Source organism: Homo sapiens, chromosome 6 (genome assembly GCF_000001405.40).
Source record: "Homo sapiens chromosome 6, GRCh38.p14 Primary Assembly".
Classification (NCBI taxonomy): domain Eukaryota; kingdom Metazoa; phylum Chordata; class Mammalia; order Primates; family Hominidae; genus Homo; species Homo sapiens.
This window is the reverse complement of record NC_000006.12, coordinates 109,162,716-109,181,512: the sequence shown is the minus strand read 5'-3', so window position 1 is coordinate 109,181,512 and position 18,797 is coordinate 109,162,716. Positions and strand designations below refer to the sequence as shown.

Genomic DNA, 18,797 nt, shown 5'->3' with positions numbered 1-18,797 from the left:
ACCAGAGGAAGCTCAGGTGGTAATGCTTGCTTGCCTGTGCTCACCTCCTGCTGTGTGGCCCAGTTCCTAACAGGCCACTGATGAGTACTGGTCCATGGCCTGGGGACTGGGGACCCCTGCAATAGAAGGTAAGAAAAGTGGTGGTGGGGGGGAACAAAAAGAAGTATGGCAGAATTAAGTTCAAATGTAACAGTAATTATAATAAATGTAAATAGTTAAGCTCATCAAAATACATAAATCAGCACAGCTTCAAGTGTTTTAAAGGCTCCCAAAACTTGATAATGTGATATGTACCAAAATAAAACAATTATTTTTATTCTAGCAAATGCCAGAATTTAAACTGATAAGCATACTGGTCCCATATCACTGTGGGCTAATCCAATTCTCTTTATTGATCTGCACAGATAGATACTCTGTAACCTTGTTGGGTAAACATTTTTGATACGTAGTCATCTTGATCATCAAATGCTTTCAAATCATCTATGCTTTCAAATGAAATACATTACATGCCAGCTTCTGCATTAGTAGGGGTGTGGCTAAGCCATTGTAACAAAAAGACACCATCACCAGTGGCTAAAAGAACAAACTCATGCCTATAATCCCAGCACTTTGGGAGGCTGAGGTGGGTGGATCACTTGAGGCCAGGAGTTCGAGACCAGCCTGGCCAACATGGTGAAACCCCACCTCTACTAAAAATACAAAAACTAGCCAGGCATGGTGGCATACACCTGTGATCCCAGCTACTTAGGAGGCTGAGGCAGAATGGCTTGAACCCAGGAGGCTGAGGTTGCAGTGAGCACCACTCTACTCCAGTTTGGGTGACAGAGTGAGGCTCTGTCTCCAATCAATCAATCAATCAATCAATCAAAGAAAAAAGATCTTTTAAATCTCTCTAACCTAATGGTGCTAATGTAAATGGTCTGGGGTTGTAGAGCAGCCCCACTACTAAATGGGCACTCAACGGCCCGGGTTCCTTCCAAGTCTGCTTCATCATCCCCTAGGCATTGTTCAGATAAACACATTAGTGTTTTCCCTTCATTGTGTCTATAGAACATAGGGGACATGAGATAAATATATTTGATAGTCTGAGTTGAATAACCTGCTTCTACTTCTAGTTTGCTGAGAGGCTTATTTTACTTTTTTCTTGAAAGGGTGAATTATGTCAAATGCTTTTTCTGCATCTATTAATCATGTGATCTCCCTCATCTATTTGTTAATGTGGTTAATTTCACAGATTTTCAAAAGTTAATCCAAAATTGTGTTTTTAGAATAAACTCCATTTGGTCATAATTTGTTATCTTTTTTATAGAAAAATGTATTCAATTTTCTACTATGTTTTTCAGAATGTTTGCATTTATGTTCATGAGAGACATTGGCCTGTCATTTTTCTTATAATGTTTTTGTGAAATTTTGGTATCAACATTATGCTGGCCTCATAAGACATGTTGTGAAGTGTTCTCTATTTTCTGAAGAATGTTTATAATTGCTATATCCTTCCTTAAATACTTGGAATAAATCACCTCTGAAATATAGTAAACTGAAGTTTTCTGTATGGGAGGACTTCAATTACAGATTCAATTTTTTAAACAGATATATAGCTATTCAATTTTCTATTTATTTTTGTGTTCATTTTATTAAGACTTTTAAAAGAACATTTGGATATATAAGCACATTTCATCTAAGTAGATGAATTTTGGGGGGATGTGAGGTTTTTCATAGTATCATACTTTTTAACAGCTTTGTTGAGATATAATTAACACAACATCTGATTAACTCACATGAAATGCACAATCAATGATTTTTATTTAGTATATTCAGAGTTGTGCAATCATTACCACAATCGATTTTAGAACATTTCATTACCCTAAAAAGAAACCCTATTGCCATTACCAGCCACTCCTCATTTTTCTCTAAGCTACCTCTTCTTCCTAACAATAAGCAACCACTAATTGACTTTCTCTCTACAGATTTGTCTCTACAGATTTATATGAACATTTCATATCAACAGAACCATACAATATGTAGTCCTTTGTGACTGGCTTCTTTTACTTAGCATGTTTTCAAGGCTCATCCTTGTTGTAGCATGTATCAGCACTTCATTCATTTTCAATGGCTGAATAATATTCCATTGAACAACTATACTACATTTTATTTGTTCATCAACTGATGGACATCTGGGTTGTTTCAATTTGGGGGCAATTATACATAATATTGCTATGAACATTCATATACAAGGTTTTGTGCACATCTGTTTTCATTTCCCTTGAGTATATGTGTAGGAGTGGAATTACAGGGTAAATATGTTTGACCTTTGAGAAACTGCCAGACTTTTCCAAAGTGGTTGTACCATTTTACATTCCAATCAGCCATGTATGAGAGTTTCAATTTCTCCACAGCCTTGCTAACACTTGTTACTATCTGTCTTTTTAATTTAAGCCATACTAGTTGGTGTGAAGTGGTATCTTATTGTGGTTTTAATTTGCATTTCCCAGTGGCTAATGACGTCAATCATCTTTTCACATGCTTATTGGCCATTTGTATGTCTTCTTTGGAGAAATGTCCATTCAGATCCTTTGCCTATTTTTAATTGGATTATTTGTATTTTATTGATGAGTTGTAAGAGTTCTTATATATTCTAGATACATGTCCCTTATCAGATGTACAATTTGCAAATATTTTCTTCCATTCTGTGGGTCATCCTTTCACTTTCTTGATGTTGTCCTTTTAAACTTCTTATCTTTTTAATATTTATAAAATGTGTAGTGCTGTCTCCTTTTATATTCCTGATATTGGTAATTTCTGTACTTGTCTTTTTTTTTTTTTTTTTTTTTTTTTTTTTGAGATGAAGTCTTGCTCTGTTGCCGAGGCTGGAGTGCAGTGGCACAATCTCAGCTCACTGCAACCTCCGCCCCCCATGTTCAAGTGATTCTTCTGCCTCAGTCTCCTGAGTAGCTGGGATTACAGGCAGGTGCCACTTCACCTGGCTAATTTTTGTATCTTTATTAGAGACAGGGTTTCACCATGTTGGCCAAGCTGGTCTCGAACTCCTGACCTCAGGTGATCCGCCTGCCTTGGCATCCCAAAGTGCTGAGATTACAAGCATGAGCTACCGCGCCCAGCTTGTACTTGCTTTTATCTTGATCAGTCTTATTAGAGATTTATCAATTTTACTAATTTTTTTCAAAGAACCAGTATTACTGAGTTTTCTCTAGGTTATTCATGTCTGCCTTTTCTTTTACTGATTTCTGCTCACCTAACTTAGTAGATCATTGCTTTTACTATCTTGAGTTTAATTTGCTTTTCTTTTTCCAGCTCTTGAGATGGATGTTTAGATAAATAATTTTTAACCTCTCGTGTAATGTATTTAATATTATAAATTTCCCTCTAAGCACTATTCTAGCTACATCACAGAAGTTTTTAATGTTGTGTTTTCACTATATTTTAAATATTTTCTAATTTCTATTATGATTTCTTCTTTGACATAAGAGTTATTTAAAACTGGTTCTTTCTGTTATGGTTTCTAGTATGATTCCACTGTGGCCTGAGAACATATTCCGTATGACTTCAATTTTTAAAAATATGTCAAGCTTGCTTTATAACCCAACATATGGTTATTTTGGTAAATGTTTCATGTATACTTGAAAAAATGTGTATTCTGATGTTGGGAATAGTGTTTTATATACGCCAATTAGATCATATTGGCTAGTCATGTTGTTCAAATCTTTTATATCCATTGATGTAATCACTGATTTTTTAAAGGATATATGAGCTAGGTATATTAAAATCTTATTACAGTGAATTTACCTATTTCCCCATTTTGTCCTCAACACATTAGTTATATATATATATATATATATATATATATATATATATATTTAATTTTTAATTTTATTTTTTGAGACCGAGTTTTGCTCTTGTTGCCCAGGCTGGAGTGCAGTGGCACGATCTCGGCTCACTGCAACCTCCACCTCCTGGGTTCTAGTGATTCTCCTGCCTCAGCCTCCCGAATAGCTGGGATTACAGGCATGCGCCACCATGCCTGGCTAATTTTTTATTTTTAGTAGAGATGGGGTTTTTCCATGTTGGTCAGGCTGGTCTCAAACTCCTGACCTCAGGTGATCCACCTGCCTCAGCCTCCCAAAGTTCTGGGATTACAGGCATGAGCCACCACACCCGGCCCATTGTAAGGTTTTTATTCTTTGGCTAGTGTTTTTTTTTTTTTAACCGAAGATTTCTACCCTTTTAGAGGTTTTAGTTTAGCTCTTTAACCTCCTGCAGCTTCAAAATCTGGCAAACGTCTAGAGAGGAAAACTGGCCAAGTGTTTTGTGCTGGCTTCCTCTCTCCTGTGGGGTGTTGTCTCCTAAGCTAATCTCAGATTTTACCTGCCTTTCCAACTTCCTTCTTAGGTGTGCCTTCTGAGCCTTTTGATTGATAGATTGACATTTCTCTTTTTCCTCATCTCTGAAATTCTGTCCTTCAAAGGTTCGAACTTAGTTTCCCACCCCATGAAAGTTCAAAATCTGGCAAAAATTTGAGGGAGAGAACTGTCGTATATTTGACGCAGTTCCTCCTTCTAGCAGGGTTTATCTTTTAAGCATGGCAAGACTGCAGATTTTACTTTGCCTTTCTAGACCAGCCCCCCAGACTCCTTCACACCTTGGCATTCAGCAAATATCCAATGGGTATATTTCAGACATTAGATTCAACTCTGCCATTCCTGCAGCCATGGCCTTCAAAAGTCTCCCTGGCTTCTGTTTGTCGCATTTGGGTTCTTATGCCAAAACTGTCACTGTGACTAGAATTGGTAGATTGGCTAAGGAAGCAAATAGCCAGGGACTGTCAACTCACCTAGGAAGGCTCTTTCATTTCTGGAATTTTGGTTCTTCTAGTCTTTGTTGCTTCTATAACCTTCCAATGTCTTTCAACATATGACTGTAACTTAACTGTTTTCATGATGTGGCCTTTACTAAATCTTACCCAAAGTAGCCAGGCACAGTGGCTCATGCCTGTAATCCCAGCACTTTGGTGTAATCTTGGCTCACTGCAACCTCTGCCTCCTGGGTTCAAGCGATTCTTCTGCCTCAGCCTCTTGAGTAGCTAGGATTACAGGCGCACACCACCACGTCCAGCTAATTTTTGTATTTTTAGTAGAGACGGGGTTTCACCATGTTGGTCAGGCTGGTCTTAAACTCCTGACCTCATGTTCCGCCAGCCTCAGCCTCCCAAAGTGCTGGGATTACAGGCATAAGCCACTACGACCGGCCCCAAAGAAACTTTCTTAAACTTTGGCTCCCACCGCTCCATATTATTGTCTCTTTTACCTCAAATAATAATAAACCACCTCATTATCTGTTCATGGAAGCATTTTTTTAAAAAATTACCAAAGATCAAAAGAAGCATGTGTGAAAGCAAAATGTACACACTGCTCTGCTGTTATCAGAGCATTATCAACATGTACATTGTAGTCAGAAAATATCTTGCACCCTGAGAGAAATAAGCAAACAAAAACAGGGTCACTGTCATTCATTTTCCCAAAATAAAATAATCCTTAAGTTTTGTTTATAATTTACTAATTCCTTTAATAAAAGCAATTTTATTGCCAACTTTTGCAATGATAATAGATGAAAATCTGTGATGATCTTTGTGGCTATGACAATCATGTGAGAAAATCGCTGTCTTTTCTACCATGATTGGACAACTACAAACTTGGTAATACTGGTAATTTTGTGGGTTTTCCTTTTTTTTTTTTTGTATTTTTTTATTTGATGAGCCAGTTCTTTTAAAACTTGGGAGTTGCTTGCAAACTTTCCTTGAAAGTAAACTTTCCCCCCTAAATCCTTTGTCTATATTTCTTTGACAATTGTGTAGATTCCTCTAAGATTTTGTGTATGCATCAACCAGGGTAAAGTCCACCACATTGTCCATGAAGAGCAACTCAAGGGCTGTTCGAGGTATACATTTTCCAGTCTTGAGGCAATAAAGTCTTCATCTAGTTGATTCAAGTTCTTTTTCTGGCTCTTCATATGTTTTTTGCTTCCTGGCCAAGTCTGCGTTTGACACTGGTTCTGATTTGTAAACAGCCACTTATTTCTCCTTTGGTGGCAGCAATGTTGAAAATACACATTTTAATGGTCGATCCGTTCTTTGTGAGGCAACAATGACAGGACATCTGATTGTACTTTGTTTTTGTCTTGAGGATTCTGTTATCTTCTGTCATCTAAGATACATCTTTTCTTTGCATCTGGGTCTTAAGACATGAGTTTGGTCAAATTGATAGGTTGCATTAGTAGGTTGGAAAGTTGCTCATATTACTCCCTACATCACTGATTTACTTTCTTTCTCATCTTCTGACCATTGACGAAACTTGTTTTTCATTTTTTTGTGCCACTATGAGTTCAAATCAATTAAGAAAAATATTTTTGTGGCCACTGGAATGCAGAGAAGCCCTTGGAGATCTGGAGCTGCTACCATTAACCAATGACTCACGCTTTTTGTACTTTTATTACATTTGATCCATCTGTGGCTAATGTTATAAACTAAGGCTGGTAGTTCTGTGTATTGCTATTATTTTTTGAGATAGGGTCTTGCTCTGTCTCCCAGGTTGGAGTGCAGTGGCATGATCATGGTTCACACGGCCTCCATCTCTGGGGCTCAAGCAATCCTCCCATCTCAGCCTCCCAAGTAGCTGAAACTACAGGCATGCATCACTATGCCTGGCTAATTTTTAAATTTTTTTTGTAGAGATGAGGTCTCACTATGTTGCCAAAGCTGGTCTCAAACTCCTGAGCTCAAGCCATCCTCCCACCTCAGCCTCCCAAAGGACTTGGATTACAGGCGTGAGCTACCACGCCCAGCCTGCGTATTAATTTTTAAAAACCATCTTTTTTCTCCTCAAAAAGGAAGGCATAGTTCTTTGTAATAGTCCATTTGTAATTACACAGCTTTCTTTCTCCAAAGTCAATGTCCTTTCTCCCTCAGAAATATGCTGGAGATTGAACAGTCAGAAAAAAACATCATTTGAACACACTATTTAGGGATATCTAACTCCAACAGACAAATCTACCATGAAAAAGAACAAAATATACACAGTGAACAAACTTGGAAATTGTTTTTATGTAACTTTAGAGCAAAGGGTAGAAACTTTACAGAAGGTTTTGCTTGGTTTGTGTAACCATTCTACAAATAAGCCTGGATCTGTGATGGGATGGGAATGATTGCTGCCAGCTTGTCTGGAACATTATGACCTCTGCAAGAAATCTGAAAAGTTCTCAGTGCATAACATACTCTCTCCCTTCTCAAAAGAAAAGAGTAAAGTATCCATCTTAGACACTGTAATTTATATCCATTAGGCCCTATCTCCTAACACTGCTTCATTGGAGATGGTTTCCAACACAAGGTTTTTTTTTTTTTTTGAGACCAAGACTCACTCTATGGCTCAGGCTGGAGTGCAATGGCATGATCTCGGCTCACTGCACCCTCTGTCTCCTGGGTTCAAGCGATTCTCCTGCCTCAGCCTGATGAGTAGCTGAGACTACAGGTGCATGCCACCACACCCAGCTAATTTTTTTTTTTTTTTTAGTAGAGACGGGGTTTCACCATGTTGGAGGCTGGTCTCAAACTCCTGACCTCAAGTGATCCACCTTCCTTTGCCTCCCAAAGTGCTGGGATTATAGGCGTGAGCCACTACGTTCAGCCCCAACACATGGCTTTTGAGTGACATATTGAAATCATAGCATGTGACTGATTTCTATTTCTAATGGACACAGAAAAATTCTGCCGGGCACAGTGGCTCATGCCTGTAATCCCAGAGCTTTGGGAGGCTGAGGTGGAAGGATTGCTTGAGCCCAGAGTTTGAGACCAGCCTGGGCAGCAAAGTGAGACCGCGTCTCCTCAAAAAAAAAAATTTTTTTTTTTTTTTAATTAGCCAGGTGTGGTGGCATGCACCTGTAGTCCCAGCTACTTGGGAGGCAGAGGCAGGAGGACTGCTTAAGCCCAAGAGTTTGAGGTTGCAGTGAGCTTTGATTGCATTCACTCCACTCCAGCCTGGGTGACAGAACAAGACCCTGAAAAGAAAAAAAAAAAAAAAAGAAAGGTAGGGGGCGGGCTGAGGGGGAAGGAAAGGAAAGATTCCTTTCTTCTTTATCTCAAACTCTCAATAGGCCACCCTTGAATAAACTGGAAGGAAATAATATTCTTTAAATGGTCTCATGTTCCAACTGACCTTTTAGGATTCAGGAAAAAAATTAATAAAAATTATTAATATAACTTGTAAGTAATACAGTGTCAGGAAAATGCAAAAATAATACTGTAGAAAATGACACAATTAAAAAGTACACAAACAATGGTATACATGGTTAAATATTACACAAAAGTATCCCTTTACTTTTCACAGACATGTGGCTATTTGCATAGGTTCAAAAAAAACATGTTCTCCTTCCTACCAGGCAATAATTAACAAATCACTTTTGTAACCATCACCATGCCACACATCTCATTAAAGTAGATATGGCAAACCCATTATTAAGCAAAGCAGTCCAAGCAACTTGGCTGAGGTAAATTGACCGGTTCTTGGTTCCTGACTTCAGTATAGTATGTGGGCAGTATCTTACACATAAAGAAATGACAACCTCTTGGGCTTGAAAAAGCCTCCAGACAAAGTTAACTCCTATGTTGTAGTAACACATGGCCCTAGTTTTATTAACTAGACTTATAAGAAGGTCTTTGTATACTAAGCGTAACCTTTTATCACACTCACATAATAAAACTAGTCATCAAACTAATGATACTAAATCAGAAAATCACTAAGCAAATTTATGGCCAATTCCATGCTTTAGGAGGAAATTTGGAGGCAAGACTGACACCTTAACCAGAGGCCATGATAGGTAAGCAATGCACATCACTTTTGGGTCAGAAAACAAAAAACAATACCGCAGTAAAGGATCAACATAGCAAGTCTTGATTGTGTAAACTTTTCACATTCCAAAGAAATGTTTGTCCTGTGTCCAGATTCAAGATAACCTCTAAGTCCTTGGACTATCCTGCCTGATATGAATGTTTTAATTTACTTGGGGGCCTTAGGCCATACCAGGTAGTCTAAGCTAACAATGTGATTAATGGTGAAGTCCTTAGGCCATGTAGTATCAGCTCCATCTTTGGAGGGGCTGAAAACTGAAGGTCAGCCACATGGGCTATCAGTCATGCTATGCCTACGTGACCAACCCTCAAGAAAAAATCTGGACACCAAGGCTTGGTGGAGCTTCCCTGGTTAGCAATTCTCCAAGAATGTTGTCACACATTGTTGCTGAGAGAATTATGGTCTGTCTGCTGAGAGAATTATGGTCTGTCTACATGACTTCACAGGTGAAGGACAACTGGAAGCTTGTGCCTGGTGTCCCCCAGACTTTGCCCTATGTGCCTTTTTTCAGCTGCTGATTTTAATATATATTCTTTTGCTATAATATACCATAACCATAACTTAACAGCTTTTCTGAGTTCTGTGAGTCCCTCCAGTGAATCACTGATCCTGAAGGTGGTCTTGGGGACCACCCGAGATAAAACACTGAGGTAAGGTTAACAACAAAAACAGTCACCACACTGTCTAGTTCTCATTTCCCATGTAAATGAAACCTTGAGCCTTTCCTGTAAATTACTAATAACTATATCCCTGGTCTTGGCAATGCTGATATCTAAGGATACATGATGACCTCTGATATGATGATTATCTGAGGAAACTGTTTTCCACCATGAAAAGAATAACTAAACTTGGTGACTTTGGTAATTTTGTAGGTTTTTTCATTTTTTAATTTGATAAGCCTGTCCTCCTAAAGCTTGTACTCCCTTGCAAGACTTCTTTGCATATAAACTCCTAAATGCTTTAATCTTTTAGTGGTTTATGTTTTTTATTTCTGTAGATGGTAGTTTAAACTGATAGTATTTTAGTAGAACGGTTTAAGAGAATCAAACTCTAGGCAGGGCGCGGTGGCTCACACCTGTAATCCCAGCACTTTGGGAGGCTGAGGCGGGCAGTTCACCTAAGGTCAGGAGTTCGAGACCAGCCTGGCTAACACGGTGAAACCCCGTTTCTATTAAAAATGCGAAAAAAAAAAACAGCCGGGTGTGGTGACGCATGCCTGTAATCCCAGCTACTTGGGAGGCTGAGGCAGAAGAATCGCTTGAACCTGGGAGGCGGAGGTTGCAGTGAGCTGAGATCGCGCCATTGCACTCCAGCTTGGGCAACAAGAGCGAAACTCCGTCTCAAAAAAAAAAAAATCAAACTCTACTTTGTGGCATTATTTATGGGAATGCTCTGAGAATGAGAAATCACAGGCAAATATATCATACCCAAACACCAAAGGCACAGCCCTCTTTCGACTTGAGAGCCATTCTGTAAAAGAACAAAGAAAAAAGAACCTGTTTGAAATTTTGGCTTAAGTGTCCACCATTTAAATCATACCTTGAGAGAATCAAGAATGTAATACTGATATAAATTTTTCTAAGCTTATAAAGGAGAAGTTATATACATAAAATAGAATAAGTTTTTTAAAAAATCAATTATTTTTTAGATTAAAGTAAAAGCAGATATCTTTAAAGTAACTTGTTTTTAACTCTGGTACTGACTTTCCCAGCTTTAAATTGGTAGCTTGGTTCATTTCAGGGAAAATGAAGGCAATAATGCTTTTTATGTGTTCAAGCATTTCAACAGTGCTATTCTCTCACATGTATTACATATTTTGGATAAGCTATCTCTGAAAATATTTTGTAAGATATTAAAGATACTTTTGCTAGAAATTGTAAGTTATAAAACCATAAATGTTCCACAGACTTCTCGAGAGCTTTTTAAAATTTAATTTTAAGTGGGTTTCCTGTGCACCAAAATGGTTTATGTTTTAAATAACACATTTGTAAAGTTAAACGGATCTACAGTGATGAAGAGTGAAATACTTTCCAATTCAGCAAGATTCTGGACAATTGCCCTGTAAACATCAATCTTGTATTTCAGGCATGAAATGATTCACATTCTGTACTAGGTTCAGTAACAGGTTTTTCTAAGAAATACCAAAGGTCAATGTACATTTAACTTTAAGGCAAACTAACAACAACAACAACAACAACAAAATGCCTCTCAAGGTTTTTTAGAACCTATCCTAAAATTTACTTAACTACATTAAGCCAAGTCAGGTTGAAAAGTACATTATTTTACATTATTTTAGCTGATTGGAAGGTCTGGCTCACTTTACAATCCTCTGTTCTTAAAGACTAAGATTTCTTTCTTTAATTGTTTAGGTTAACTTTAGTAATTTGTAGTGGTGAATAAACTTCTACAAGTGGGTAGAATCCCATTACAATGGGATTATATTTGGTGGCCTTATTATTGCTCATTACCCTATAACACTTCTTCCTACCTTCTGACCATTGTCCAGAGCAGAGTGGCTTTGCTGATATGGTTATAAGAAATCTATTAAATAGGATATTAAAGGCCAAAGAAATCCTCTCAGGAGTTAGTTTATTTAATGAAGCTATCTTTCAGGTAAGATATTTATCCACTTATTCATTTTAAAATATTCAATCAGGTTGATTGCTGAGTAAGATGACATGTTTTTAAAGAGTACTACATTGGTGGTATTATCAGGTTTTTAATTTTCATGGTGCCACTGACTGTTGATGCTCGGAAAAATAGGGTTTGTCAAATAACAGATCTTTGCTCTCTTCAGATTGGAGACATGCAGATAGTTTTTCTCCGACAAATCTCACATTCTTATTGGTTGTAAAACTGTCTGAAGCACCTACAGAGCAAATTTCTTTCTTAATCATAAGACTCATGCTTGGTTAGATTTTACCAAGAGGTAGCATAATGAGGTCATTTTGTTAAGGGATTCATACTGAATGTATTTATTTGCCCACATTAGAAAACCAGTATTTCTCTAAGGTAAGTTGGCTAGTGTTTGAAAATTGTATTCTATAGACCAGGAAATGCAACAGTATTGATTAAAATGAGACTTGTTATCTGTAAAACACATGAAACAATATTTCTGGGATAAACAATAGATTGGCACATCCATAACAGGGGACTTGGGAGTATTCCTATTTTAAATTGGCTATTCCACTTTTCTCCACACCCTTCAAATTCATTCTCACTGAATACTTATTAAAAGCCAACTTTTTCTTCCCTAAAAAACATTTAGGGCTACATTAAAAATGACAACCCGTACTCACAAAGTTTCACAAAACATAAGCTACCTTAATTATGTGTGATGCACTCTGATCTTTTTTTTTTTTTTTTTTTTTGCTGATGGAGCCTCACTCTGCTGCTCAGGCTAGAGTGCAGTGGCACAATCTCAGCTTACTGCAACCTCCGCCTCCCTGGTTCAAGCAATCCTCTGGCCTTAGCCTCCCGAGTACCCGGGATTACAGGCACATACCACCATGCCCGGCTAATTTTTGTATTTTTAGTAGAGATGGGATTTCACCATGTCGCCCAGGGTGGTCTTGAACTCCTGAGCTCAGGCAATCTGCCCGCCTCGGCCTCCTAAAGTGTTAAGATTTTACAGGCGTGAGCCATCGCACCTGGCCACATTCTGATATTTTCAATACTATTTTATATCATTTAAAAAATGCTGGCCAGGCATGGTGGCTCACGCCTGTAATCCCAGCACTTTGGGACACTGAGGCGGGCAGATTGCCTGAGCTCAGGAGTTCGTGACCAGCCTGGGCAATACAGTGAAACCCCATCTCTACTAAAATACAAAAAATTAGCAGGGCATGGTGGTGCACACCTATAATCCCAGCTACTTGGGAGGCTGAGGCAGGAGAATTGCTTGAACCTGGGAGGTGGAGGTTGCAGTGAGACGAGATTGTACCATTGCACTCCAGCCTGGGTGAAGGAGCGAGACTCCAATCTCAAAAAAAAAAAAAAAAAAAAAATGCTGGTAGTGACCCGCTAAATTGATTTGACAATCCACCGGTATGACTGTATGTACTATGAAAAACACTGACTGGATCCAACCAATGAGGAGGCTGAAGTATGCAGAAATTGAGTGGCTTAAGTTCATAAGGGAAGTGAATGGCAATCATTTACACAATTCTGTGCAAGTCAATACTTGGCCTCTAGAATATAACCTTTCTGTATAATTCTTATTGTTCTGTTTTAGTCTAAGTGATTATTGCTTGATTTTCCCCCACTTCTCCATTTACTTCATTGTTTCATACCCACTTTTTCCACTCATGCCTTTGAATTGGATTATAGACTGGCTATGGCCGGCATTTTGAAATTACTAAAGGAACTGGTATCTTCAATCAAGAAGCCTAATAAAGAGTGAAAATCCTAGACCAATACTGCTACCAGGCAAAAAATTTAAAAAGGTGAAGGTATATAAATCAAGATAGATAGAAAATGAAGAAATTACAAACAGGCCAACTTCTTAAGCACTTTATCGATAGATGAGAACAAACATTTAGTAGGCAAATAAATATTTGAGCATCTGCTCTGTGGTTGTCATTATGCCTTTCATGTCACTTACTGTTTTCTTCCTTTTAAATATATATACATCTTATCTCTCCTCAAGACTATAAGCAACTTGAAAACGGAATTCCATAGTAGCTAATACAGTATTTTGAGATCAATAATTAGAGATCAATAAATACTCACTGATGAACAAGTCAAACATACCAATATCCAAATAAAGAACTCTTGGCTCTCAAACCTCTTCCTCTTAGCATAGTATCAAAGAAAGCACCATTCTGGTGCCCACAGTTGGTGGAACCACACCCTGCCCCTCCCCAAACAAACAATACTGGGCTATTCCTTTTTTCTTTTCTTTTCTTTTTTTTTTTGCTTTGAGGCAGAGTCTTGCTCTGTTGCCCAGGCTGGAGTGCAGTGGCACAATCTCGGCTCACCGCAACCTCTGCCTCCCAGGTTCAAGCAATTATCCTGCCTCAGCCTCCCGAGTAGCTGGACTGCATGCTACCACACCCAGCTAATTTTTTTTTATTTTTAGTAGAGACAGGGTTTCACTACATTGGCCAGGCTGGTGTTGAACTCCTGACTTAGGTGATCCGCCTGCCTCGGCCTCTCACAGTGCTGGGATTACAGGCGTAAGACACAGTGCTCAGCCCCAAATGGGAAATGGATCCATCTATATCAATATGGAGAACACTCCCAATAAACCTACCAGGAAAAAAAAAATTCACCTAATTCTTTAAGTAAACAATCTACAGCAAAAGTAACAACAAACTCTGGCCCAGACATTATTTTAAGGCTTAAATTTATAATTTTTCTATGTCTAATTCTCCTTACAGGAAAAAAAAAACAAAAACGAATTGAAAGACAAAGTTACATGAAAACAAGTAGATGGAATATGAAGAAAAAGGCTGAGGCATTGAGAAGGTCTATTTAATTACCAAGAAGTAAATTTATTTTCAGATGAGTGACAGTCAATATTATTTTTATTTATCCTCATCTCACTTTAATTAAAAGGTGCAATGGCACGCATAGTTTTTTAAAAATCTCACAGTTGCTATTATGCCTTAGTGAAGGTTGTCTTGTCATATGTCTGAGTGTCAGCTTATACTTATCTACACGTCACCTACAATTAAATGTTCTCAGTAGATAAAGCTTTAGTTACAGCTGAATATTGTTCCAGGAAACCCCATTAGGAGTTTCATTATTTACTCTACACCAATAATGGCAGCTGTTGCATTTCTGTCCACAATGCACTCCTTCCATTGTGCATAACCAACTGGCCTCTTCCCCCCTTAGATTGATTTCTCACATTACAAGTAAAATTTTTATTTAATTTTTGATCTCTTATCATGGATAAGAATACACATTTAGGCTGGGCGCAGTGGCTCATGCCTGTAATCCCAGCACTTTGGGAGGCTGAGGTGGGCGGATCACCTGAGGTCAGGAGATCCAGACCATCCTGGCTAACACAGTGAAACCCCATCTCTACTAAAAATACAAAAATTAGCTGGGTGTATGGCAGGTGCCTGTAATTCCAGCTACTCGGGAGGCTGAGGCAGGAGAATAGCTTGAACCTGAGAGGTGGAGGTTGCAGTGAGCTGAGATCGTGCCACTGCACTCTAGCCTGGGTGACACAGCGAGACTCCATGCCCACCAAAAAAAAAAAAAAAAGAATATACATTTATAGTTAAAATTACACTTTTAAAGTAAGAAAAGCTCTCACATCTACTGGCAGGTATAGAAAAAAAGGAATAAAGTAAGAAAGCTACCAAAAAAGCTCAAAAATAATTTTCAAGTACATTATCTACATTATCCCAGCCAGTTAACTTACTATGTACTAAGTATCTCCCACTTTAATCTTACATTGTTGAAAACTGAACATTTCCCTCTGACCCTCCTGTCTTTATCTACAACCTAATAAAAATGGCTGGGTTGCCAATGATCCACCCAAGTACAGTTAATTCAGGATTCCAACTCCCATTTCCAGTATCAGAATATAGTCACAATACCTGCTGCTTCAAACACTGGAACTTTCTGGCTTCAGTTTCATCAAAATTGAGACCTGCCTTGGCTAGAAAATTCCAATTCCATTATTTCAATTTCTAATTACATAAAAACCAAACAAATCTGTTTTTTACTTAAGTGAACAAAATCCGTGAAATCATACCAAGTTTCTGCTAGACAGAGCACAGCTGTGAGGTTGCTACAGCAACTCTTACACTGACCATAGACTGACTGCTCCATCCAGGAAAGAAATCTTTTGCTCCACCCCCTGAGGAGTCAAAGGCTCTGGCAAGCAGGCAGTCTGTGAGTTCAGTAGCTGTGATGAAGCAACAAGACACCATTCTTCATTGTCTCTCAATAATAAATGTCACCTCAACAACCACACCATACTCCAAACCTATTTGCTGTGTGTGGTTACATGTTTCAGCACAATGACAGGACTGTGTTCTTTACCCCCTCCCATTAGAAACCTGGGCTAGGAAAGATGACAAAGCCATTTCCCTTCAGGCACACAGAAAGAGATAAAAACCAAAATAAGTGAGAATATTCCCACTTTTACCAATAATATATTTAGGTGTTTGCTTTTAGGCTTCAACCCATGCAAACATGTGTTCTACATTTTTTTTTTTTTTTTGCCACTCAGATTCAAAAAATATTTATTGAGTGTTTAATAAGTGTCAACTCTTCTGCTGGGTGCTTTCCCATGTTATTTCATTAACTCCTCACAACAAATTAGTATAGTCCTGTGAGGGAGATATTAGTATAATCCTCACTTTACAGATGAGAAACTGAGGCTCCAGAAAGTTATCTGACTTGTCCAAGCTATTAAATGGTAGAGTCCCAGAATTTGAAACCAAGTTTCCTAGCTCTGAAGTTGTGGTTTTTTCTACTACACTGGACTAATTTTTAAGAAAATTCTCAGTTGAAATATTCCATGTTCCTAAAATGGTTTTAATTTTTTTTTTTTTTTTTGAGACAGAGTCTTGCTGTGTCACCAGGCTGGAGTACAGTGGTGAGATCTCAGCTCACTGCAACCTCCATCTCCCAGGTTCAAGCGATTCCCCTGCCTCAGTCTCCCAAGTAGCTGGGATTACAGGCATGCGCCACCACACCCGGCTAATTTTTGTAATTTAGTAGAGACAGGGTTTCACATGTTGGCCAGGATGGTCTCAATCTCCTGACCTCGTGATCTGCCTGCCTCGGCCTCCCAAAGTGCTGGGATTATAGGTGTGAGCCACCGCGCCTGGACGGTTTTTAAATTTTTAATGATAATTTTTAAAGCAATACCTTTTCACAAGTAATGAATTATTAATAACTAAATATATTCAGCCACCTTCCTAAATGTATAGAAAACAAAGGCACAGAACTATAGGTCTGCATTATGGTCCTGGTGGATAGCAGAAAGCTAAAAAGTTTAGCAAAAAGCTAAGCTTAAGCTATAAAACTCATATCCTCAAGGAGGAAAGGCAAAGTAGAAAAACAGGTAAGGTGATGCAACTGAGTTTAGATCAAACACCCTATGGAACATCTCCAGGGCTGAGGAGCTAAGGGTGTGAATGAGTGGGAGTGAAAGCTGGCAAAGGGCACATGCACTATTTACAACAGGAGGAAATTTTGATCTCTGCCATTAACTACTTTCAAGGACAATTTCAAGCATCAATGTGCCCATCTTCAGTCACTTCCCCACTTCCAGGTATGGAAGGTATTCTAACATGGTATCTCTCCTCACCATTAGAATGAATTATAGTTCTCTTCCTCCCCAAAAGATCCATAATTACCAACTTTTTCCTACACAAGCTTCTTGGGAATTTCCTAGGAAAACAGAAAAACTGTCTTTTAAAAATTGCTCTCCTTAGCTTCCCAAGATCCTGACCTAAAAATTCTTTCACATCTATAGCTTGAACATTCCATCAGCTGTGGGTTCAAAGAATTCAGTAAATATGTACTTCCAACTCTGTCCCTTAGGAATCACCATCTCTTAAACTGCTACCCTATATTTGAGCTCCTCCATTCTATTATATCTTTTCTCTCTGTCCTCTATTTCTAATTCAGTTCATGACTCTAGTTCCCCAGTTGCCTCAGAGGATTTGAGTGAGAAACCAAGAGTTCAGAAGAGTTGTACTAGTTCCCATAGGCTTCCAGAAAAATGATCAAGTGTAAATTTATTATAAAGCATGCATACACAATGACATTTGACATTATTGATTTTAAAATATAAAAAATAAAAATATACCATACTACCGTGAATTTCTGCTGGATGAGGTAATTTAATGCCCAGCTTCCTCTTCCTCTATACTTTCTTGTACAAAAAAAAAATACCACTTTTGTGGGTCCTAGAAATTCACAGTCTCAATTTATACTGATGGACATTACATACAATGCAAAGAATAAAAGTCAGCAAAAGTTATAAAGTAGTAAGATAAAATTGATCATTGATTTTTTAAAAAAAACTAGTTTTGTAAAAGAGAATGGGAATAGCAGAGGAAAGCTTCTGCAACTGAATTACTGTCTCCTAAAAATTAAGTAGCTATAGGTTCCTACTGTCTCATAAAACTTGGATTAAAGGCTTCTTCACAAAACTGTGTAACTATTAAGTTTTTCCTTTTCCAAAAGAGAAAAACATTTCACAGCTCTAAAACAAAATAGAAAGAAGGCACCAGGAAAGCTAAATGATCTTTCTGAACTCTGTTCATTGAACATTGGTTTTTAAGGTTCCAAACCTACTAAATGAAAAGTGGAATGAATGGTACTTGTAGCTTGGATTTAACTCAATTTTGAATATTGTCAATCTAGTACAATTTCTTAAATTTAGCTTAAGATATCTGCAAAGCCAACAATGTTTCTAAGACAAGATGAGGTTACGGGCTTCAATCAATAAGAAAAATAAAAAAGCAATTAATTTATTATTTGGAACCCACCAGGTCATTAGGCATTAATTTTTAAATACTGCAACTTCATGTTTTATAGAAACTAGAAACATGATTCAAAATGTCACAAAGTTATATTAAATTAAAACCACTTTAGACAATTCAAGGTCTCACTGACAAAGTTCATTAAGGTGACAGTTTTGCTGTTTTGTTACTGTTCCCACATGATATCATCTCTTCTCAATTTCATTTGAAGATTATGAACTCGTATTGGATGAAAGCTGCTGTTTTTCTGAAAAAGGTTAGTGTCAGTCAAACATTTTCTGGGGCTATTTTTTATGTTCTTTGATCCTTTAGGGTAGCTGTCTTCTTGCTGAATACCTGAAGCTTCACTCATCTTTGAGTTTTGAACTTTTTGCTGCAGTTTACAGACCTGGAGAGAAAAAAAAATCTAACATTTTAGTCA

The 18,797-nt window shown here is 37.9% G+C and overlaps 1 protein-coding gene and 1 pseudogene across 18 annotated transcripts in view; both read right to left on the bottom strand.

The window, feature by feature from the left end:
• Window positions 1-15,682, bottom strand: part of CCDC162P (coiled-coil domain containing 162, pseudogene) — a 189,118-nt pseudogene extending 173,436 nt beyond the window's left edge. The window contains exon 1 of the transcript NR_152435.1: window positions 15,628-15,682. The product of NR_152435.1 is annotated as a coiled-coil domain containing 162, pseudogene (transcript). The remainder of the gene's footprint in view (window positions 1-15,627) is intronic.
• Window positions 7,095-18,797, bottom strand: part of CEP57L1 (centrosomal protein 57 like 1) — a 79,256-nt gene continuing 67,553 nt past the window's right edge. For all 17 annotated transcript variants that reach the window (NM_001350662.2, NM_001083535.3, NM_001350655.2 and 14 more), the window contains one exon: window positions 7,095-18,764. In NM_001350662.2, coding sequence (NP_001337591.1) covers window positions 18,543-18,764 — 222 coding nt within the window. In that variant the 3' untranslated portion in view covers window positions 7,095-18,542. The remainder of the gene's footprint in view (window positions 18,765-18,797) is intronic.